At 40.3% G+C, this 23,456-nt stretch overlaps 3 long non-coding RNA genes across 6 annotated transcripts in view, besides 1 other annotated feature; 1 reads left to right on the plus strand and 2 right to left on the minus strand.

Moving 5' to 3' along the window:
• LINC01722 (long intergenic non-protein coding RNA 1722) overlaps window positions 1-23,456 on the minus strand; it is an 87,316-nt gene that overhangs the window by 53,470 nt on the left and 10,390 nt on the right. Inside the window, exons 4-6 of the long non-coding RNA NR_109868.1 lie at window positions 22,146-22,263; window positions 6,059-6,235; window positions 1,956-2,048 (exon numbers count right to left, since the gene is read on the minus strand). This is a non-coding gene — a long non-coding RNA (long intergenic non-protein coding RNA 1722). The remainder of the gene's footprint in view (window positions 1-1,955; window positions 2,049-6,058; window positions 6,236-22,145; window positions 22,264-23,456) is intronic.
• Window positions 7,845-8,045: a silencer, noted in NCBI's record as "peak4148 fragment used in MPRA reporter construct". NCBI's record gives its function as "represses an SCP1 promoter by STARR-seq MPRAs in K562 erythroleukemia cells {active_cell/tissue: K562}" and the evidence as "EXISTENCE:reporter gene assay evidence [ECO:0000049][PMID:32103011]".
• On the minus strand, window positions 16,204-18,290 carry LOC102606466 (uncharacterized). The gene is made up of 2 exons (NR_109872.1): window positions 18,059-18,290; window positions 16,204-16,801 (listed from the first exon to the last, which is right to left on the minus strand). It is a non-coding gene; the product is annotated as an uncharacterized LOC102606466 (long non-coding RNA).
• LOC105372535 (uncharacterized) lies at window positions 17,138-22,231 on the plus strand. 4 transcript variants are annotated; one of them, XR_937274.3, is made up of 5 exons: window positions 17,138-17,683; window positions 18,356-18,428; window positions 18,659-18,780; window positions 19,360-19,609; window positions 21,842-22,231. It is a non-coding gene; the product is annotated as an uncharacterized LOC105372535 (long non-coding RNA). The 4 variants fall into 4 exon arrangements; XR_937273.3 differs by lacking the exon at window positions 21,842-22,231 and having other exon boundaries at window positions 19,360-20,941; XR_007067534.1 differs by lacking the exon at window positions 21,842-22,231 and having other exon boundaries at window positions 18,356-18,780; window positions 19,360-19,800.

Consider the following 23,456-nt stretch of genomic DNA (forward strand, 5'->3'; position numbering starts at 1 on the left):
ACACCTGCATAACTGGCACCCAGATCAAGAAATAGAACATGAACAGCACCCCAGAGCTCCCATGGCACCCTATCTTGGTCAAGATGGTAGGGGGTGATATAAACTTTCATATCTGCCTTCAGAGTCCTTGGCAGTGGTCTCTGGGGCAGAGGTCATTCTTCTGCCATCAGCTGCTGACATCTGTGGCCAGCACAACTGAGTAGCACCCATCAGTGGTCTCTGCTGACTGGGCCCCACGTCAGCTCTGGTTGGTGCTGTGAGCCCCTCCCGCCCCAGGAATACTATGGTGATTCTCCTGTGATTCTGGCTCACGTGGTCACTTGGCAGCCCTCCAGGACAGAACCCACACTCCATCACAGTGACACCCTCTGGAAGTATCCTCCACTATTTTCCCAACTATTTCTCCTTTCCTTCTTTGAGAAGGGGAGTTAGGTGGGGTGGAAACACTTCATGTTTCAGCCATGCCATGCCCAAACTCAAGCCCTCGCTCCTTCTGCCTAACAATGCAGTACCATGAAAACTGCTTATATGGGACCACTCCAGATTGGGGGCAGGGCATTCTTGGAAGCAGCTCTTTGTCTTGAGATAGGATACTACCAGGACTCATTTTGTCTCCCAGTCCAAATTGGAAACCTGCCAAAACTGAAACTGCAAGTGGCAGGAAAGCAACCTTTCACTACTGCCAAGACACTACCCTACCGCCGTGCCATGACAGTTTACAAATGCCATGGCAATGCCCACAAGTTGCCACCCATTTCTATGGCAAAACCCAGAGGTTACTCCCCATTTTCTAGTGATTTCTGAATAACCTGTCCCTTAATTTGTATGTCATTAAAAGTGGGTATAAATACCACTGCCAGCATCCCATGTGGCTACTCTCTGTGCACTGCCTATGCGCTAACCCTGAAATCACAGAGTTGTAATACAGCTGCTTCAATATAGCTCCTTTCTTCCACCACCAGCTCTCTCTTGAATTCTTTTGGGAGTGAAGCCTGCTCTACATCAGTTTTAGAGCAACAATTAGATACTCCTGTCTACTTCCCTCTGTTCTTGCCTAACACCAAGTTGATGATGGCCATATGCAGAGACAGAGGCTTGCAGAGTCCATCCAGCGTAATGTGGAAGCATGCTGCATACCCAGCTGGATGAGCTTAGGAAAACCTGGCCCCTCCACAAGATCCAACCTCATCTCAGAACAGATCTCAGGCACCTGACCTATTACTCTCTCTGTTTCCTTTCCTTCTTTTAACCTTGATATTATGGGCCTAGAAGCATGAGTCTTCAAACTTTCCTTTATTCCATATCATATCCTTCTACTCCAGGACATTAACTCTCCTATCTGAGCTTCTTTTTCCTTCACTTGGTTTATCTGTCTCCCATCCTAGTGGCCATAAACAAAAAGAGTATCCTCACTACCTTGGAAAAATATTGATAAGAGTCCTCCAAAGTTAGGAAATACATTATGGCCCAGTAAAACCTGATTTTCAAGAGTCTGGCCTTATAGGAGGGATAAGAGAAACATTACATTTCATGTCAAGAGCTGAATATTACTTTTTTCTCCTTAAATATCTTCTGTAATAATCCTAATCCTAATTTCCTCACTCCATTTTTCTCCTCTGAAACCAAAGAAATAAAAAATAAAAATGCTTTAGAAAGAAAAGGGAAAAGCCATATACACAGAAACATACAATTGAAAAGCATACCCACATAGTTTAAAATATCAATCATATAAGAGAAAAAAATGCATTAATGTAAAATATACAGTGAGGGATTTCAGCCAATGTACCTGCATGTATATAGTACCACACTTGGTAACTAATTCATCAACTCTAGAAGCACTGGGTTAAGGAACTCTGAAAACAAAAGGGAGATAATAATGTCTCCCATTTATGTGGTTATACATAGTTTATAAACTGTAGTGTTTTGTAGTTTATAAGATGCTTTTGAACACTTGCCTTATTTTAACTTCACATGACCCCTGTGGGATATGTTTTACCATCTTCATTTGGAGGCCTAGAGCAGTTCAATTACTTGCGACCCACATACAGCTATAATGTGAGAACAAAAAAACAGTGTATTCAAAACATGTCTTGCTTGTGGTTCTAAAGGTAGAAATGAAATGGGTATTTGGGGCAAACTGTCTTGTTTTTCCAAAGAGATATTTTTGTCACGTTGTTTCAGTTGTTCAGGTGATAACAAGCACAAGCCCACTCCATGTGCCCTAGAAACACTCAACAGGGGAAGTAAGCTACATGCCAACTGTGCATGCCTGAAAGAAATGCCCTACTTAGGAAAACGTAAAAGGCCACCATCTTCCCAACTTCTCAGTAGAGTGCTCCCCTTGAAACTATTGTGATGTGCATTGACACTGTGTTTTCTAGACAGGGATCAGAGGCAGGGGTTGTACATTTCCCACTCTGAAGGCCATTAAAAGCTTCAACTCTCAGAGTGGGAAGCAGAGAGGTTCCGAGAGAAGAAACAAGTTCTAGGAAATTCCAGGAAAAGGGTATCCTGGTATTTTATCTTAATTTTCCCTTTTCTGCATTGAAATTCCCTTGTGTTATCAGGAGTCAGTGAGGTCTGTTGTGTTCAAAAGCTACGGGTTATTTGTTCTTGGGAAATCATCTTTTGTACAATGCTTTGGGAAAACAGACCAGAGATGATAATTATGAAGTAGAAAAGGGATCACAGGCTTCAGGAAGAGATAGAGGGAGGGGATTGAGCCTCAGCCTGGAGCAGGAGATACTGAAGGCGCAAGTGGACCCATGGAACCTTCCAGTATTCCTCAGGGTTCCCAGAAACCTGCTATCACCCATATGGGGCTCAGACTTGGGGCCCCTAGACAGTAAAGAAAAGGGGGCGATATTTTTGGATCTGCATCTCCAACAAATCTCATGTCAAATTGTAATCCCCAGTTTTGGAGGTGGGACCTAATAGGAGGTGATTGGATGATGGAGGCAGGGTTCTCATGAATGAGTTAGCACCATCCCTCTGATGATGTTCTTATGAAAGTGAGTGAGTTACCATGAGATCTGGTTGTTTAAAAGCATGTAGTACCGCTCCCCTTCTCTCTCTTGGCCCTGTTTCTGCCATGTAAAATATCTGCTCCCACTTTGCCTTCCACCATGAGTAAAAGCTCCCTGAGGCTTCCTCAGAAGCAGATGCCACTTTGCTTCCTGTATAGTCTGCAGAACTGTGAGCCAGTTAAGCCTCTTTTCTTTATAAATTGCCCAGTCTCAGGTATTTCTTTATAACAATGCGAGAACTTACTAATACAGAAAATTGGTACCAAGGAGTAGAGCATTGCTCTAAAGACACCTGAAAGTGTGGAAGCAGCTTTGGAACTGGGTAACCAGCAGAGGTTGGAAGAGTATGGAGAGCTCAGAAGAAAACAGGAAGATGAGAGAAAGTTTGGAACTTCCTAGAGACTTATACATTTGTTTTGATTACAATGCTAATAGTGATATGAACAATACAGTCCAGGTTGAGGAGGTCTCAGATGGAGATGAGGAACTTATTGGGAACTGGAGCAAGTCACTTTTGTTATGCATTAGCAAAGAGGTTGGCTGCATTGTGCCCCTGCCCTGGGGATCTGTGGAACTTTGAATTGAGAATGAGGATTTAGAATATCTAGTGGAAGAAATTTCTAAGCAGCAAAGTGTTCAAGGTTTGGCCTGGCTGCTTCTAACAACCTATCTCATATGCACGGGCAAAGAAATGACCTAAAACCAGAACTTATATGTTAAAGGAAAGTAAAGACTAAGTTTGGAAAATCTGTGGCCAGGACATGTGGTAGAAAAGAAAAGCCCGTTTTCAGGAGACAAAGTCAAGTGGGCTGCAGAAATTTGCATAAGAAAAAAGGAGCCACACAGAGTCCCCATGGGACACTTCCTAGTGGAGCTATGAGAAGAGGGCCACCATCCTCCAGACCCTGGAATGGTAGATCCAGCAGCAGCTTGCACCATGCATCTGGAAAAGGCACAGGCACTCAATGCCAACCCATGAGAGCAGCCACAGGGGCTGAACCCTGCAAAGCCGCAGGGGCGGAACCGCCCAAAGCCTTGAGACCCCTCCCCTTGCACCAGTGTGCCCTGGATGTGAGACATGGAGTTAAGGGAGATTATTTTGGAGCTTTAAGATTTAATGACTGCCCTGCTGGGTTTCAGATGTGTGGGGCCTGTAGCCCTTTTCTTTTGGCTGATTTCTCCCTTTGGGAACAGGAGTATACCAATGCTTATACCTTCATTATATCTTGGAAGTAACTAATTTGTTTTTTATTTTACAGGCTCATAGGCAGAAGTGACTTGCCTTGTCTCAGATGAGACTTTGGACTTTGAAGTTTTGATTTAATGCTGGAATGAGTTAAGACTTTGGGGAACTGTTGACAAGGGATGATTGTATTTTGCAATGTGAGAAGGACATGAGATTTGGATGGGGCAGGAGGTAGAATTCAGTGGTTTGGATCTGTGTCCCCACCAAATCTCATGTCAAATTGTAAACCCTTATGCTGGAGGTGGGGCCTGGTGGGAGGCAATTGGAACATGGGGGCAGAATTCTCATGGATACATTGACATTATCCCCTCAGTGCTGTTCTCATGAGAGTGGGTGAGTTTTCATGAGATCTGGTTGTTTAAAAGTTTATGGCACCTCCCCCTCTCTCTCTTGGTCCTGCTCCTTCCATGTAAGACACTTCCTCCCACTTTGCCTTTAACCATGAGTAAAAGCTCCCTGAGGCCTCCTAGAATAAGCTGCTGTGCTTCTGGTACAGTCTGTGGAACTGTGAGCCAATTAAACCTCTTTCCTTCATAAATTACCCAGTCTCGGGTATTTCTGTATAGCAATGCAAGAACTGACTCATACAAGGGGGCTCCTTTAATGCAGGGAACCTGGGTTATAACTACAAATAACAGAAAGGATTCCGGTGTCTGAGTCTGTGTCTCTATCTACCCTTCTTACCTGTGTGCCAAAGAGGCAGGAGGGTGATTCTGAAAGTAAAAAGCTCACCGCCAATATTTTATTTTAGTACAAGAAAAGAGATTAATACTATGGATGTAGAGAAAGCAAGAGCTTGGAATCTAGAAACGACTTAGATCCCACCATGCCCTTACCAGCTATGCAATCTCAGATGGGCCACTCAATCCCACTGACAGTCAATTCTCTCATCTGTGAAATGAGTGTACCAATGCTACTTTATAGGCAGCTTTGTCAGGATTAAATGAAGTAATTTAGAAAAAGTACTTAGCAGGGTGACTGGTTGCCTGGCCCTTAATAAGTATTTCATGAGTTCAATTCTGTGCCAAAGATAAAGTATTGCTCACCAGCTAATTGGCCATTGTTCAAATTTTTTTAAGCAAAATGAAAACTTCAAGCTTATTAGAATTAAAATGCTCTGACCCCTTGTATTTTGGAATTATAAAAGATATTGTTTCTCAAAATAATGGTGGTGGGAGGGGTGGGGGGAACCCTCTGTTTGCTTAGGGCCATCTTCCAGCTCTTATCAGGTGGCATTTGCATTAGTCTGGTGGTAAATCCGTCCAGGATGCTGAATAAACAACTGCTTGCCTTTAGTTGGATCTTCAATTACATCAGATATGTGACCTGATGTCTGGAAGCCCTGGGCTGCCAAGGACAGAACAGTCTCTGTGAGGTGATTTAAAGGAGATCTTTGTTCCCTGGCCCCCAAATGTCTTTGTCCCATTATTTCTTGCAGTCTGACATGCTCCCTTTAAACCCCAAAGGCTTTCTGTGTTCAAGAGCTCCTTATCTATTGTTATGCAAATGTCCCTGGGAAAAACAATAATAATTCTTCATCGGCTAATATTTCAAGGAGAACTATAGCAACAAATGCTAACAATTTCTTGGAAGCTCAGATGTAGGAGAGGTATGTGTAAGATAAGGAAGAAGGGGTTGGGGGAAGAGTGAGTTATCTCTAAAAGGGGAGGTAGATGAGAAGGATGGGTTTTAGAAGTAGATAAGCCAGCTTCAGTTTCCCAGGAGCCAATCTCTAGAGCCATGATTTCTGTTTCCTCATTCATAAGGCAGGAAAGACAAAATTTACCTCACTAGGGTGGTTTTAAAGATTAAATGAGACAACATGCAGACTGCTTGTTCCTATGCATTCAAAGGAAGTGGTGACCATTAACTCCGCCTCCAGGCTGTAGGTTCTGAGGGACTAGGATGCAAGATCCCATCTGCCATTTGCTCACTGTGACCCTGGCCATCACTTGGCTTCCACCTGTGTAAAATGGGAAAAAGGTGTTTTCCTAGTCATTAAAAATGTAATATATGAGGCACAGCTTATTAATTTCTAGGTAGAAAACTATACGATTACTCAAGTCAATTGCATGTCATTGCTAATTTAAAGAAAAAGATAATCAATTGATTTTGGGTGAACAGTTTTAATTTGAAGCAGGATTAGTCAAGATAACAATGTATTTTAGCCAGAAATAAATTTAAGTCTGTAGTCATTAGAGTTAAAATATTCTTTCTAATAGCTATACAGTACAGAAAAAGACTGCTGAAGAAATTTGACATGTAATAAAAAAGAGAATGAAGAAAAAGTGAGAGTGGATTTAAAAGGCTGCTGTTCCGTTTTCAGACTGCAGGCTGCCCCCCTGCTGAGCTGCCCAGCTGCTCAGTTCATTTCTTAGTGAAGTGCCTTTTTTGGGCTTAGCCACAAGATGTCAGCCTAAGCTTAGCCATTTGTGCATTTTTCCGCGCCTCCAACCCATTTCTTCCCTTCCATTTCATTTCCTCTTTCGGCTCTGAGCAAATGAATAATCTTTTGGATTGTGGGCACTAGATGAATAACAATGGAGTAACTGGAGCATTCAAAGGGCCTCTGCTGATAGCAGCTTCCACCAAGTCTCAGGAAGAGCCCCCTTTCCTTCCCATTGCAGTCCCCAAGCCTGGGAGGCCATTGTCCTCTCTCAGGCCAAGTGTATCTATGTGTTGGCGCTTCCTACACAGGGACAAAAAATCCAGGATCCGTGACCCCTAGGAGAGAATGCTGTTAACCTGTCTCCCAGGAAGGTGGATAAAGGCGATTTCAGGTTGGCTCAGCAGCCCTGGGAACTTTCAAGGGTGAATACTGCTTTCTCAGCTGCAACCTGTCTTCCCCAATGCATCGGCATTTGAGAACAAGATACCCCACCTGGGTACGAGATGCCTGCAGTACCTCTAAGAATCATGTTCTCACCACATTGGTGAAGGCAAAAAATGGGCAGATTTTCTTTCCCCATGGATTTTTGTAAAGGTGAAAATTTTCCAGACACCCCCCCTACACACACCAGCAAATGTACACTTACAACTGACTGGTCAGAAATCAGTCACCTGCCTGTCCCTGAAACCATCAGCAGTAAGAGGAGTAGGGATGCCATAACTGGTTTAGATTAGTGAGATCCATCTCCTGGGCCTAGGGAGGGTCCACCTTCCTTAAGCACATAGCTTTTGCCAGAGATCAGTACTCCCGGAGCTGAATTCCAGGGCCTGCCGTGATGACCCAGAACTCAGGACACAGCCCTGTCTCCCAGGGGCTCAGTGAACACACGTCCAGTCACGACTGCCCAGGGAGATTTGCAGTGGGCTAGAGTTTTGCTAAAGAGAGGCCAGGCAACCACCAACTAAACTACCTGCCCTTTGCTGGAGAAAGAGGAGGAGGAAAAAGAAATAAATGCTGCTGAGACTGACAGAGCAGGAGCACCGTCATCTCAGACAAACACCGCCACTTTAAGCTCCAGCTCCCCTTCTAGCCTCATGCATTTCAAGGAAATCACTTCTCTTCTAACTACAAGCAGCCAGAAAGAGCAGACAGTAAAACACAGATAAGACAGCTCGGGCACAGAGGAAAGTAGGGGGCAAGTCGCTTGGGTAACTGCCAAAGTTCACCCTCATACAACGGGCCCCAGTAAAACAGTGGGCCTTAATAAGCACATTCCTTTCCCTTCAGGTGCACTAAGATAGGGAAGCTAAAAGCAGACTCAGGGGGCTATGCCTGCAGCTGCAGAAAGATATATGAGAACAGACACACAACTCTCCTTCCCAGATAAGCACAACAAAGAGACACAGAAGCAATCCAAGCCTCTGATAAACTCTCCTATCCTGAATTCTTAAAAACTCTTGGTCATAAGAGAGTGTGGCTCTGACCTAGCTTGGCCAGCCGCCCCTCTCAGGTTTATTTAAAATAAACTTGTCCCTGTTGACTGTAAAGCCACCCTTGAAGTTTCTCTCCTCTTTCTTTAATTCTTGCAGTGACTATATTGTCTCTGGCATCAAGAGGACTGGGGTCAGTCCAGTAGCTCTGGGCTCTGGGACCTGCTCTGCTTAGACTGTCTGAGAACCCGAGAGCATGGTGCCTCTGTTCTCTGGGTCTGTTTCCTTCAGAGAAATGCAGTCTGTTCCAGGATGTACAGCATCAGAACCAGCCTGGGCTATAGGCCTCCTATGGAAACAGGCAGGCTCAGGCCCATGCTTATCTGTCTCTCACTGTGCCATTGAGCCACCAGAGTCATGGGAGCCAGTGTTTTCCAACCGAAGGGACTTCTGTGCCCACTTTCTAGAACCTCTCCTTGAGCCGACCTATGGGGATAAAACACACACACGAAAGCAGGACATCCTGAGGAAGGGACCCTGGGAGGAAGATGAACAGTGAGACCATTCCTGTTCATCCTTGTAGAATAGGAGATAAGTTGATTTATCATTCATTAGACAGAACTGTGTAATAAAGGTATTTATGTGTGCAAGGCTGTGGTATGCAACAACTCTGGGGGAAGGAGGAAGAGAAAGAAATGAGACTTGGCTTTGGGTTGGATGTGCGATGCTTTTTCTCAGAGAAATCAATTTTTTGCAGAAAGAAGCATGCTGTCTATTGGGATGTCGCTGCCCCACGAACAGTCACTACACCCTTGATGCATCCTCTGCGGGGGGCTCAGGGCCTCAGGAACACTAAACACCACAGGGGACCAGGCTTCATCCTGACACACACTGGGAATCAACCCAGCTGTCATTTCCATGGGTGTGGAAGAAAACTAATGACTCAAGGCTTGAATCATAAGTGGTCCAGCTTCCACTGGCAGAGGTAGATAAGTCAGTGAGAAACTCAGATACATTCACAGCAACTGCAGCCTCTGACCGGAATGGGTCGAACCTGCAAGCCACCCTTGGCTTCAGCCTGCTTTTAGTTCACAACTTTGTGCAAAAGAGAAATTAGCAGCAATGTGAAATGTCACAATTTGAAGGAGTCTCTGCCAGGGCTGGACAGTTCAATTTCCTTTTCAACTCACTGCCCCAACATTGTCCTGCTACTTTCAAGGAGAGAAATTCAAGCATAAGGGCTTTGTGAACCAGGCTGAGAGCTCTGGACATGGAAGGAGAGGGAAGGGCCAGGTTCTCACTGGGACACATACTGTGGTGTGTAAAGGCATGGACCCTGGACCAGAATAGCCCAGGCCAATGCACTGCATCATTTCTCCTATTTCTGGGACTTCTGGCAAGCTCCCTGGACACTTCTGTAGCTCAGTCTTACCCTTAGTAAATAAGGCTAAGAGTAGCACCTGCCCCTGAGTTTTTATAAGGTTAAAATCACAAAAGATTCAGAAGAATGCATGGTATAGTGAGGGCTCAGTAAATGTTTATTATTTTTTATTATGATTTACCAGTTATTCTAATTTTGAGCAAGAGGGTTTCTCTGAGCTCTAATGAGGAGTCTCACCCTACCTCAAAGCAATGCAGGACAGAAAAGCCCCCAAATTGGGGCTTAGCCTGGTTCTTGGCTTCACCCAGGAAAGAACGTAAGGGTAAGCTGGTGGTGTTAGACAGCAACTTTATTGAAGCAGTAGCCTATAGCAACAGAGGCACTGCTCCTTGCAGAGGAGGGTTAACCCATAGACAGTGTGCCCACAGTGGCATCTTACAGCAACATCACCAGAAACAGACCTGTGGCTGAACAAGTTGTTTCTCACTCATTGAAATAAGGGAAAACACTGTGGAGAACTGTGGTGTCTCTCAGTAAGAGCATGTTAAAAAAGACAGTATAGGATGTGGGACTTTAGTTAGATTCCTGTCTTCATCAGCTCTGGCTGCTATATAACGAAGTACTGTAGCCTGGGTGGCTTATAAACAACGGCAATTTATTTCTCACATTTCTGAAGTCTGGGAAGTCTAAGATCACAATGCCACCATGGTTGGGGTCCAGGGAGGATCCTTTTTTGAGTTGCAGAATGCCAATTCCTTGCTGTTTCCTCACATGGCAGAAAGAGGGTGAGAGAGCTCTCTGGAGTCCCTATTATAAAAACACTGATCCTATTTATAAGAGTTCTACCTTCACTCCTCAAACACCTCCCTAGGCCCCAGCTCCTACCACAGTCACCTTGGGGGTTAGAATTTCAACATATGAATTTGGAGAAATGTAAACATTCAGTGCTTACCAGTGCTTTAGGGGATGTTTTACAGAATCGGACTTTTGCTCTGAAGTGGAGGCCATCAGGAAGTGGTGTTAACACTATGATTGAATACTTTAAAAATGTGATCTACAATTTGGAAGGAAGTAAGGTTAAAGCTGTGGTTGGTGAATAAGCCACTGTTACACATATTAGCTGGGAATGAGGAGTGTTTGGTCATTTGTGTAGTTTAGATAAGGTTCACGTTTCTGTCTGCATTCAGACATGACTGGAGTGGTCTTCTTTTTGTCTTGATTCACCACCATCACAGAGTGGCCTTTTCTGATGCTGGTACTCAGTGAAATTGTTTATACTCAGCCAGAGAATATTATGACCTAGCTGTGAGTGCCTGTTCTACTCCTAGCAACACCAAGAACTAACAGTGCTAGACCAGTTCTCAAATATGAAGGGTTGCGTCTCTGTTTCTTTCTACCCTCTTTTGGCCAAAGCAAACTAGTCAGGCATCAGGATGTAGATCATTGATCCCTACCATTGCTGAGACATTGCTAATCTGATATTTATCCAGAGCGCACTGTCTGCAGGCAAATTAGGGTTTTAATTCACCATCTTGTATTAGTCAGGACATCTCTTTTCTTCTAAAGCATTTCAAAGTCATGAACTAACCTAAAAATCATACGTGCTATAACACCTTCTTTATCTCTGGGCAGCTGACATATCTGAGTGAGGGCAATTAAGTCAGCCCACTGGAATTATTCAATTTCTGAGAGAAGCTTGTATTGCAAGGCCAAATTTAAGTTTCTGATCACGTAAATGGCTTTATAATTTTTAGCTTTTCTTTTTCAGTATGAACCACATAAAATCAAAATAAAATCACATTTATCTTGGCTAGAAGGTTTGCATGATTGTGAATAGTTCCCAAAAGGCTGGAAATTATTGGGTCCTCTTTCATCAGATAAAAAATAAATCAATCAACAAAATAAAATACAAATTAAAATAAAAAAGATGATGCCTGGGTTCAGAGGGAAGCAGCAATGGATGTAGACCTTTGAAGGGTAAGGCGGTAATATTTCATAGATGTCACATGACTGTCAATAAAAGAATCTGTGTAAGATGAGAAATTGTTAAGTGTAGTAGAGATCCTAGAACTAAGTCAATGGAAGTTTTCATACATTTTGCTATTGCTGTTATAGATCTTAAACAAGGTCGATATAGCTTGGCTACTAGAGCTAACAAAAGACTAAAATAAGCAGTAGGTCCCTAATGATTCCCACATAATTGGGTCAACACTTACTGAGATTTTTTATAAACAAAAAGTAAAAAGGGATTTGTGAATCTAGAAACTTGGAGAAAATTCTTTTAATAGTTACTGTTTCTGTGTGTATGCTTAAAAAGGAACATACTTCTTTTAACTTGAAAAGTATATGATTACTAAAAGCTAATTCTAGTAATACTTTTTACTAATATAAAATTAACATCAGCTCTCTTCTGGATTTGACATGTTTGGAAAATCTTTTGTATGTTTTTAAATCCCAAAGTTGAAGGACTCTCATAACAGTTTTGAAGTATTTAAAACCTGAAGAGTTTCAACAAACCTAATTATTCCTATTTTCCTTTATTTTATAGGGTGAAAGAGCAAAATTATTCTGAATTTTGGAAGGGTAAAAAAAATCATTATAAAGGACATGATACAAAGTCAAATAATTTCAGGCAACATTATAAATATTTTGTAAGTAACTGTTCTAATTAAGAATCAATTAAGAAAACTAAACATGAAGTTTCTTGAAAACTGATTTAAGTGCGTACAAAAGGCACCAAAATTTAACAGAATAATTAAATCACAAAAAGAAACTTCTACAATCTAAGCATAAAATAGGCCAGTCATGTTACATAAAAATGACACTCATTTTTTTCTGTTTTACGTCATTTTTGTAATAATTTGGAGTAAAAATTGAATACATGTCTCTGCATGTATTCAGGCATGCAGAGACAAGTATAAAAATAAGTAATGTTAAAACTTTTACTCATAGCTTTAAAAAACAACTAACTTACCAGCATATTAAATAATACATACATATCATATTAACTTTGTCCCATGAATAAGCTATTAAACATTTCTTAAGCATAAAATTATATATTCATATTCATATTCATATTTCTCTAATTATCATACCTTGTGTAATTAAATATTTATATTAATTATCCTTATATTAAATTAAACAAATATATATTATAAAATGTAATATATAGTACTTCATATTATAAATATATAAAACATAATTATATTATAAATATATAAAATATATAATTTGTTATCAATATGCAATATGTGAATTACATTTATAATATATAATATAATATTTATATTACTTATCATCTCTAATCAAAATAACCAACTTCTTTTTGCAGACACACAAAAAGTTAGAGAATAAAAAAGGAATTGTTTTATTATTTTTCTCTAAGAACACATATTATTTTAACATTTCAAAGGGAGAACAACTTTTTGCTTCTTTCTTTTCACAGTTAACAGCTTAATTAAAATAAGATTTGCCTACTATAAAATGTGCCCACTGTAAGTGTACAATTCAAATTGACTAAATTTATAGTTGCACAAGCACCACCACAATCCTACCTTAGTACATTTTCATACTCCCCAAAAAAGGTCCTTCACATCCATTTGCAGTCAATCCTGTCTTCCATCCCCAGCTTTAGTTAGGCACAATCATCTGCTTTGTCTCTATAAACTTGTCTTTTCTAGACATTGCATATAAATGGAATTACACAATACATAGGCTATTTTCGTCTGGATTCTTTTACTTAGCACAGTGTTTTTAAGGTTCATTCATGTTCTAGTACATATATTAGTTGTGTGCTTTTAATTATAGAACAGTGTTCCATGGTATGGTATACCACATTTATTTAACCATTGGCCAATCGATGGGCATTTCAATTGTTTTCAGTTAGACCTATTAGGAATAACACTGCTAGAAACATTCACAGACATGTCTTTGTATCAACATGAGTTCATTTTTCTTAAATAGATTCCAAGAAGTGGAATTTCTGGGTTGCATGGTAAGTTTAACTTTTTAAGAAACTGCCAAACTTACTTCCAGTGGAGCTGCACCATTTTAAACTCATACCAGCAATGTGTGGGGATTCCAGTTTCTCTTCATCCTCACCAACACAAGCTACTGTCTTACTATAGCCATTGTAGTGGGTATTTAGTAGTATATCATTGTGGTTTTTATCTATTATATATGGACCTATGATCCACTTCAGTTAATTTTTTGTGCAGTATGAGACAAGAGTCTTACAGTTTTCGTTGCTCTATATACCTGAGCTTGTGGCAATACTAAGATGTCTTGATTACTGGAGCTACATGGCAAATTTTGATAACAAGTATGTAAGTCCTCCAACTTCATTCTTCTTTCCAAATATTCTTTTGAATATTTTAAGTTCTTTACATATCCATATAAATTTTAGCATCAACTTGTTCATTCTGACAAAAATGCCTCCTAAGATAATTACAGGATTGGTTTGAATTTGTAGATTAATTTGGGGAGAATTGTGATCTTGACAAGAATTAGTCTCTAATCAATGAATATGACATGTCTTTACACTTATGTATACCTTTTAAATTTCTCTCAGCAATGTTTTATAAATTTCAATGTATAGGTTTTGCAAATGTTTTGCTACATTTGTAACTTTTATTCTTTTTCATGCGATTATAAATGAAATTTTTATTTCATGTTTGATTTATTTATTGCTAGTATATGGAAACATAATTTTGGAGTTTGATTTACTATCCTACAAAGTTGTTAAGCTAATCTATAACTTATAACATTTTCTACAGGATCTTGACATCTGTGAATAAAAACAGTCTATTTCTTCCTTGACAAACTGGATGCTTTTATTTTCCTATTTATAATTTATGTTTGCTTTATTTCACTCAGTAAAAAACTCTACTATAATTTTGAATAGAAATGGCAAAAGTGGATATCTTGGACTTGTTCACAGACATAGGGGAAAAGTATCCAGTTCTGTACCATTATGTGTGATGTTATCCGTGAATTTTATATAGGTATTCTTTATTAGAATGATGAAGACTTGCTTTTTTTTTACAGTTTGTTGAAGTTTTATCATTTATGGGTTAGATTTTTTTTCAAATTCTTTTCCTCCATTTATTAAGATAATCATGTGGTTTGTGTTCCTTATTCTAATATGGCATATTGTTTTGATTTTTGAATGTTAAACATACTTTGTAATCCTGAACCAAATCCTATTTGGTGATTGTGTAGCCAAATTGAGAGGGTCTCAATGGACTGTGTAGGGGTGGGCATCCTGCAGTTGGTGGGATCATACTGGACATTTGTAAGGAAAACCCAGTGTCAGGGGCACCAATGTGGAAAGCATCTCTCTTCAATCTGGAAGAATCCACTGCTTAAGGTGACAGCTGTAGCCAAAAGAGGGCACAGCTCTGAGATCATTAATTTACTGAGCATTTTGATGATTCACTGGTACTACATGGAGTCTCTTCCTCAGGTATAAGCTCAAACCTTACATTTCCGGAAGAGAAAGAAATCACAAGTTGGGTCATTGTGGAGAGATGGTAGGAAATTCCTCCATTTCAATGTAAGGACCAAAGAGGCCCCCCAGCTGGAATGACCTCTTTGTGAAACTGTTTGGTGAATGTTTCTGGAGATGGCCATCAAAGCTGAGCTGATGGTTTACTTTCTAAGGACCTTACTCAGGTGGCCACTTTCATTCTCTCTGCATAAATTATTTCTGCTCCCCCCAGCCCCAGGCGACAATAAGAACTGCATCGGCTTTCTTATTAAGAGTACTAACAGGGAATTTCTAACGTGGAATTTATAAGACCACTCAGTTTTGTGTAATTTCCCTTCTAATTATTGATTTCTTTCCTTGTACTTTTTGTCTTTTCTGAAACTTTGATTATTTCATTTTTCTTTTTTTCTGTAGTTTTTTTTAAGTACCATGCAAGATTTAAATAAAATATAATCTGATAGTTTATTTAAAATTACCTAGATTTCTCTTGGGATGTTGTTTATATTCTTCTTGGTCTACTTTTGAGACACTTCATATCCTCTCTTTATAAAGAGCAGATATGTCAGGAATATAATAGCAATAATCATATGCCCAGAATTTTTTCACTGTAAGACGTCTGTGATGCTTCAAGGCCTTCTATTGAAACAATGTCCCAGAGAGTTCATAATGACTAACAGAAATTCTTGCTTTGAAGAATTGCAGATGAAAAAAAAAAAAAGAAAAAAATCCACTGAAACTCTCTTTGCTTATTTGATAAAAGAACTGGTTGATACCAAAATTATCTGGGCATGGTGGTGGGCACCTGTAGTCCCAGCTGCTCAGGAGGCTGAGGCAGGAGAATGGCGTGAACCCAGGAGGTGGAGCTTGCAGTGAGCCGAGATTGCACCACTGCACTCCAGCCTGGGCAACAAAGCAAGATGCCATCTCAAAAAAAAAAAAAACAAAAAAAACAAAAACTGGTTGATACCTGTTAGAACCAAGATGGCTGACTTTAACAAGCTTGCTGACATTGCAGCCTGAATTTGCAGCCTGAATTTTCACTGATTCTTTCACTCTCACTCCTCCCAAATTTGCACATATGACTCATGAGTAGCATGAAGAGATAACTGCACAGGCCTAAGGACTTTTCAGACTCTGCTTACCTTCTACAATCACCTGCTAATCCCAGTATCTACCCCATGAATCTTTCTAAATACTGCCTTGGAACCAACACAGGGACACAGATGAGATTGACTCCTGTCTCTTTAGGGGTTGAATCTCAATGCAAAGCTTTTATTTTCTCAAAAACCCATTGTCATAGTATTGGCCTCCAGCACATAGGGCAGTGAGCCCCTTTAGGTTGATACCACTGTTCCCTCCTATGGGCGATGTCATTTATCTTCATTGGGCTCTACTATCTTCAGAGGTTCTTCTTTTGTGGAATTGCTTTCTGATTTTTCAAAGTTCCATGGCATCAGTTTCTTCTAGTGGTTAAGAGTGGCCAGCAAGTCACCTTCTCATGAAGGCTGTTTGTACACCCTCCTGGGGGCCAGAGCAAACTCTGCCAAGACACCAGCCATGTTTTTGAGGCTTCTCTCCCAAGCAGACTCTGCAACCTCTCTGCAAGAATGTGCAGACTATAGCATGTTTGTGGCAGCCTCACATACTGATCCTAGAGCACTTATATCTTCCTCAGTGTCAACTTCAAAACAACCTTTCTGTGAAGCTTTGTTAGATCTAATAGGATGCATGTCTCATCGACAAAGTGATTCAGAAAATGCAAGCAGTCATCTTCATCACAGTCCTATGGACTTCCAGGCTGAGGTGACACGCAGGGCAGGACTGACAGGTAGGCCAAAGTTCTGGGTAGAGAAGGTGGCACCAGGCAAAAGGTTTGGAAATTGAGTGGAGGGCCTAGGACCATTGCAGCCAGGAACTGAGAAAGCTGGGGTTGGGACTCGGGGAGAGGGAAGATGTAGGCCATAGACTGTAGTCTGACCGTGAGACTCAGGGGAGGATGCGGTTGAGAGCATGGAGAGGGTGTCCTTGGGAGAGGACCTAGGAAATAAGCCTCCATGAAAGGGCCCTGGAGCAGGAGCTGAAGCCTAATTGACATATCATCACCCCATCCCTTCATGCCCAGCCTCTCTCTGCTGGGATCACTCCCTGGCAACCAGCTTTTTATCAATCCCCTCTACCTGGCTGGCAAATCCTGAGCTTCACTCCAGGTGGTCACAATCTGACCCTTGTGACCTCATGCTTCCCCACCCCCATTTGTGAAGTTCCATCACAGGAAGTTCTTCTCCAGTGGCCCCTGATCCAGGGAGACCCACCCTGCAACAGCCCTTGTCTCCCTCCGCCCTTGGTTCCTTCTCACCCATCTCACCACCATCTGCCCAGGGGAGCCACATGTCCCAAATTTTGGAGAGAAAATAATTGAGGCTCATTTCCAGGACAGAGGGGCAAGCTGGGTCTAAAGAGCCAAGCAGAAAGGCTTCCCAAAATCGCTAGGTTGGGAGGGGTCAGAGACGTGTGGCTGCCCCAGCTGTTCTGACTCTGCCCCAGCTTTTGGCTCCACCCCCTTAAAGCACCTTCAGAGGTTCCCATGGCGACAGTAAACAAGTCTCCACTGCCTTGGCCATGTGCTGTGTTCACCCCACTCCTGATCTTGTTGGCTGCTCAGGGGCTGACAGCCCAGATGTGCAGCTGTGATGAGCAGAAACAGGGAGGAATGGAGCCCCCAGGTGAGCGGCGAGGCTTGGATTTAGGGAAGAGCAGCCTGGGGATGTGGATATGGATGGAAGAGGCTCTGAGATTTGGGATCTGAACTTGGGCATCAAGGCAGCAGTTCTTTCTTTATAGGAACTTCCTATTAAAACACATTTTTTAAAAAAAAAATTTAAATAAAGAAAGGAAAGGGCCTTATAGGAAAGGCCACAGTAGCTCAAAAATTATCAGTATAAGTTAAGGTTTCTGTGTCTGTTTACTTTTCCGATTTTAATAAAATAAAATATCTGACTCACTAGAGAAAATACATAAAACGTGTACTCGAAGCAGAAAGAGAATTAAAGAATCCCAGCATGGCCATTACTCATCTTAAGAAACAGAGCAGTATTTACCTTAGCCTCCTTCTGTGGGCCACCACCCCCTTCACCAAACAACCACGTCCTCGGTAGCCACTCTCCTGAATTATATGTTCATTAGTCAACTGCCTTTCTTTGTAGCTTGACTTAAACTTTCTGTACTATTAAACTATATATTGAATAGTTTTGCATGTTCGTAAGTTTTAAATACAGCTTGACACTCTATTATCCTGTTGATCTTGATTTTGTGGTGCCATATCTTGCTCCTGCTGACCCACTTCCTGAATGTCTGTCATTCTCACCTGTGTCTCTCCCTTTCTACTCTTCTTCCAGCCATTGTCATCACTTCCTCAAGCTGTCTAAATTCTGCCCAGCAGTCTGTGAAAATGTTGTGCTGATGACATATGTAAGGACTCTAACTCCCCTCAAACAATCTGCTCACCTGAAAGGCTCACTCCTGTTGTAATAAATGACACATAAGGTCACAATTCAACCGGTACCCATCTTGGATACCACTTCTTATGTAAACATCAAATATACACCCTCTTCCCACACACTAATGTATCCTGTATATTTGAAATAAAAGTTAGAGATATACATACAGAGATTTAAAATCTAAAACTGTCCCCTCCCCAGTAAGTCATGTATCCGTTAAAAGAATATCTGGAAACCTCCAAAAGGAAGCCAAGCATAGACTATTTGGAAGAACTTGAAGGAGCGAGAGCTGACCCCATCTTTGTACACTGGCAGCACAAGGAGTAAGTGTTACCCTCCCTCATAAGTAAGTGCTACGCTTCCTTATAATTTGCTAGTGCTTAAGGTTTTCAGTCCGAAAACTTCTCCAGCTTGGTGATCTCTGTCTACCTGGTGGCTCCATCTAGAGGGTCAAGTAAAAAAAAATGAAACCCAATTGTTGGCATTTTTCAAGAGTTATGCAAGTAGTGAGTGGGGTCTTTCTTCTCTCTTTATGCCTTTGTAATTTACTCTTTACATTTACTATTACACTTATCATGATCTGTTGTTTATTCGTGTTATTTAGGCCAATGCTTCTAAAGCTAACTGCTTTAGGATCATTTTTGAAATTTCCATTCCTTTTCAAATAAATATTTTTGTAAAAGAAATTGTTTTAAAAAAGTTCCTGGAAAAATAAAATGCAAAATTTATACACATTAGAAGTAAAAAAATGTTTATTAATAAATTTAGCAAGTCAGAACAGCTATATAGAAAAAGAAAAGAATTTCAGAAACTGTACTTGGTGTTTGTTGATAGTGTGCACATGGGGGATAAGTGTGGAAAAGAGCAACTCAAGGTGTGTTTTTCCTCTGTTCTCTCAACAGCAACAATCAACACGGAAGACTTCTGTGACCAAATGTGTGCACGTTTCTCTCCATACACCAAGCAAGCAATCTATTCTGCAGCAGACACCAACTGGAAGTCCTCCAATTCAATTCAATTCTGACACTGTCTACCTGGAAATGGCCTCAGCAACCACAGGTTGAGAGCTCAGTCCCACAAGAACACCTCCTCCTTCCAACCAGTTGAAACTCCACACCTCCAGAACTTCTCACTGACTGGCTTCGAGTTGAGGTTTCCACAGTCCTCTGTTTGAGTTTGATTAATTTGCTAGAGAAGTTCACAGAACACAAGGAAACACTTACTTATGTTGATCAATTTATCACAAAGGATGTTTTAAAGGATCCAAATGGGGGCCAGGCACAGTGGCTCATGCCTGTAATCCCAGCACTTTGGGAGGCTGAGGCAGGCGGATCATGAGGTCAGGAGATCAAGACCACCCTGGCTAACACGGTGAAACCCCGTCTCTACTTAAAAAAAAAAAAAAAAATTAGCCGGGTGTGGTGGTGGGCACCTGTAGTCCCAGCTACTCAGGAGGCTGAGGCAGGAGAATGGCATGAACCCAGGAGGCAGAGCTTGCAGTGAGCGGAGATTGCGCCTCTGCACTCCAGCCTGGGCAACAGACCAAGACTCTGTCTCAAAAAAAATAAATACATAAAATAAAAAATAAAAAATAAATAAATAAATAAATAAATAAAGGATCCAAATGAAAAGCCAGATGAAGAGATATATAGTGTGAGGCCTGGAAGAGCACAGGAGCTTCTGTCCCTGTGGAGTTGGGGTGTGTCATCCTCCTGGCACATGACAGGTTCTTCTTCTGCTTCCTGTCAGCCTCCACATGTTCAGCTCTCCAGAAGCTCTATACATCCTGTCCTTTCAGGCCTTTTATGAAGACTCCATTGGATAGGCAAGATAACAAACATGTAGAAATGTTATTAGACCAAAGGGTATGATCTATAATATCTATTATAATGCCAATAGACTGAGTGGGGAAACCCGGCAAGGCCTGTCTATTCAGATTCTTGTTAGCACCTCTGTGCAGCATTCCTTCCTCCAGGGTATGGCAGGACCTTTCTCAAATGAGGATCTTATGGCCCACAATCAGAAAGGCAGGGGAAGATTAGAGGAGGGCAGGGGAAGGTCAGAGAGAGAGATTATATTTTCTGAGGTCTGCTCCTGAGACTTAAAGCACTCCAACATTATAACAGAAGACTATGGGAGTTATGCCAACAACCATGGATGAAAACATGTTTTATATATAATATATATATTATATATAATTATATATTATGTATTATTATATATAATTATATATTATATATATTTTATATATACTCGCAAGAGGTTAATTCAGAAAATTGCTACTGTGGTTGCTACTTTTTGTCCTTTAACAACCAATTTAAAGTAAAATTTTGACTGAAATAGCAATTGATTTTTGAGAAATGTCAGCAATCGCAATGATAATAATTTTTTAGCCATTATCCCAAAGGAAACGAGTGATGTTTTCAAAATGTACTTCAATCCTTCAGCAATAATCAGATAAATAAATTTCCTGTAAAATTATAATTAAAAGTAAATGATACTTTTAATTTTTATGGATAAATAATATTTGTACATATTTATGAGATTCATGTGATATTTTGTTACATGCATACAATATATAATGGTCAAGACAGGGTATTTAGGGCAACTGCTACCTTGAGTATGTGTCATGTTCTGTGTTTATCATTTGAAATCTTCTTGCTATTTTGAAAGACAATACACTGTTGTTAACTATAATCACTCTACTATGATATTGAACAGTATAATTTATTCCTTTATCTAACTGTATGTTTGTACCCATTAACTAACCTCTGTCCATCTCCCGCACCCTTGCCATACACACTCTTTTCATCTTCTTGTATCTATTATTCTCTTCTCTACCTCCAGGAGATTAACATTTTTAGCTCCCACACATATGTGATGACTTGTAATATTTGTCTTTCTGTGCCTGGCTTTTTTCACTTATGTTAATGAACTCCAGTTCCATTCATGCTGCTGCAAATGACACGATTTCCTTATTTTTATTGCTGGATATTATTCCATTGTGTGTATACGCTGCATTTTTATCCATTGGTTTATTGACGAACACTTAGGTTGATTCCATATCTTTGCTATTGTTAGTAGTGCTACGATAAACATGGGAGTGCAGATATCTTTTTGAAATATTGATTTTGTTTTCTTTATATAAATACCCAGTAGTGGTATTTTTGAATCATATGGTAGTTCTATTTTTTGATTTTACTAATTTATATTCCCACCGGTAGTGTGTAAAAGTTCCCTTTTCTCCACATCCTCACCAGCATCTGTTATTTTTTGTCTTTTTAATAATAGTCATTCTAACTTAGGTAAGAGGATATCTAAATTATCTTTCAATGAAAGGAATGAGGGATACATTAATATTAGGCATTGATCTTCTTTTGACAGAAAAACATCAAAATGTTGTACAAATTTGTAAGGATTTGATAATAAATTTTGGCAGATGTCCAATATCAAGATCACCAACCACTTCATTAATAATTGTTGTTAAGTCATGGAACTTGTCTGCAGAAATTGTATTCTTCCAAGCTTCTAACTGAGGATTTTGCCCTTCAACCTTATCTGCTGTGAAAAGACATGTTTTTTTTTGCAAAGCAATATTAAGATAATTGAAATATCCAAAATACTAGACAAATGAGAAAGATTCGTTGTCCAATTTCATCTTAAAGTCAATATCAAATTGGTTGCTTACCTTGGAAACACTGAGATTGTTCTATAGTTCAACAGTTCTCCACCAAACTTTTACCCTCAATAAAGATGTACTTCCACATACATTAACAGTTGTTTTTAGTCAGCTTTCACATTATTGCCTATAAAAAAATTAAAGTTATTACCCTTATGGAATGATTACATTTTACAATTTCTCTAAGCATAATGTTTAGTTCAACAAGATTTTTTGCTTTTCTATATATAACAAAAATTTCTCAATGAAGCAAACATTACATTGATTTATAATCTATCGCAAGCTTCTTAATCTGACTAATTATTTCAGAACATGCCCCTACTGTGCTCAACAATTACATAGTTCCTGCCATTTGTGACTCATCATGTGAATTTGACCTGTTCTGTAACTCTTTCAATAAAGCAAGTCCACTTGCTTTGGCACAGTCAAATTGCACTAAAAGTGTTGAAACACTTACTCTCAACAACTGTCTTAATCCTCTCCCAGGACAGTAGTTGAATATTCACCATGCAGCAATGGTCCACAGACCACCACTTGAATTCCACTGAATAGGCATTGTTTTCTCCCCATCAACTGACAGGGAATTCCTAAAAGTGATGTTTAGCTTATTTTCTGTTTGCAAAGTCATACTATGGCACACTACATTTAGATTCATGCAACAAATATTTATTAGAATTAGAAATATTTAATAGAATTAAACAATGAGGCTATATCATTAGATACATGTTAAGTAGTGATCTTCCATGTCCAAAAAGTCTTTTCACACACTTGTCTTTCTTTGGGTTCAAATCAAGATAAAAAGTTTGTGTGTGTGTGTATGTGTGCTTTGTTTGTTTGGAGACAGAGTCTCGCACTGTTGCCCAGGCTGGAGTGCAGTGGTGCAATCTTGGCTCACTGCAAACTCCACTTCCCAGGTTCAAGTGATTCTTGTTGCCTCAGCCTCCCAAGTAGCGGGGATTGCAGAAGCCTGTAATCCACCACGCCTGGCTAATGTTTTGTGTTTTTTTTTGTTTTTTTTTTTTTTTTTTTGTATTTTTAGTAGAGATGGGGTTTCATTATGTTGGCCAGGCTGGTCTCAAACTGCTGACCTCATGATCCGCCCACTTCGGCCTACCAAAGTGCTGGGATTACAGGTGTGAGACACCGCGCCCGGCCGTGTGTGTGTTTTAAAATATTATTTTGAGTATGTCTTTTCTTGGTGGGGAAACTCAGCAGCAGAGGGCTGAGTTCAATAAAGGCTCCAATCAAAACATGATATACTCATTGATTCCCTCAAAGTTTACTCCCTTTGTGATTTATTTATTCCAATTTCTCACATTT

This window comes from Homo sapiens, chromosome 20 (assembly GCF_000001405.40).
Source record: "Homo sapiens chromosome 20, GRCh38.p14 Primary Assembly".
Taxonomy (NCBI): domain Eukaryota; kingdom Metazoa; phylum Chordata; class Mammalia; order Primates; family Hominidae; genus Homo; species Homo sapiens.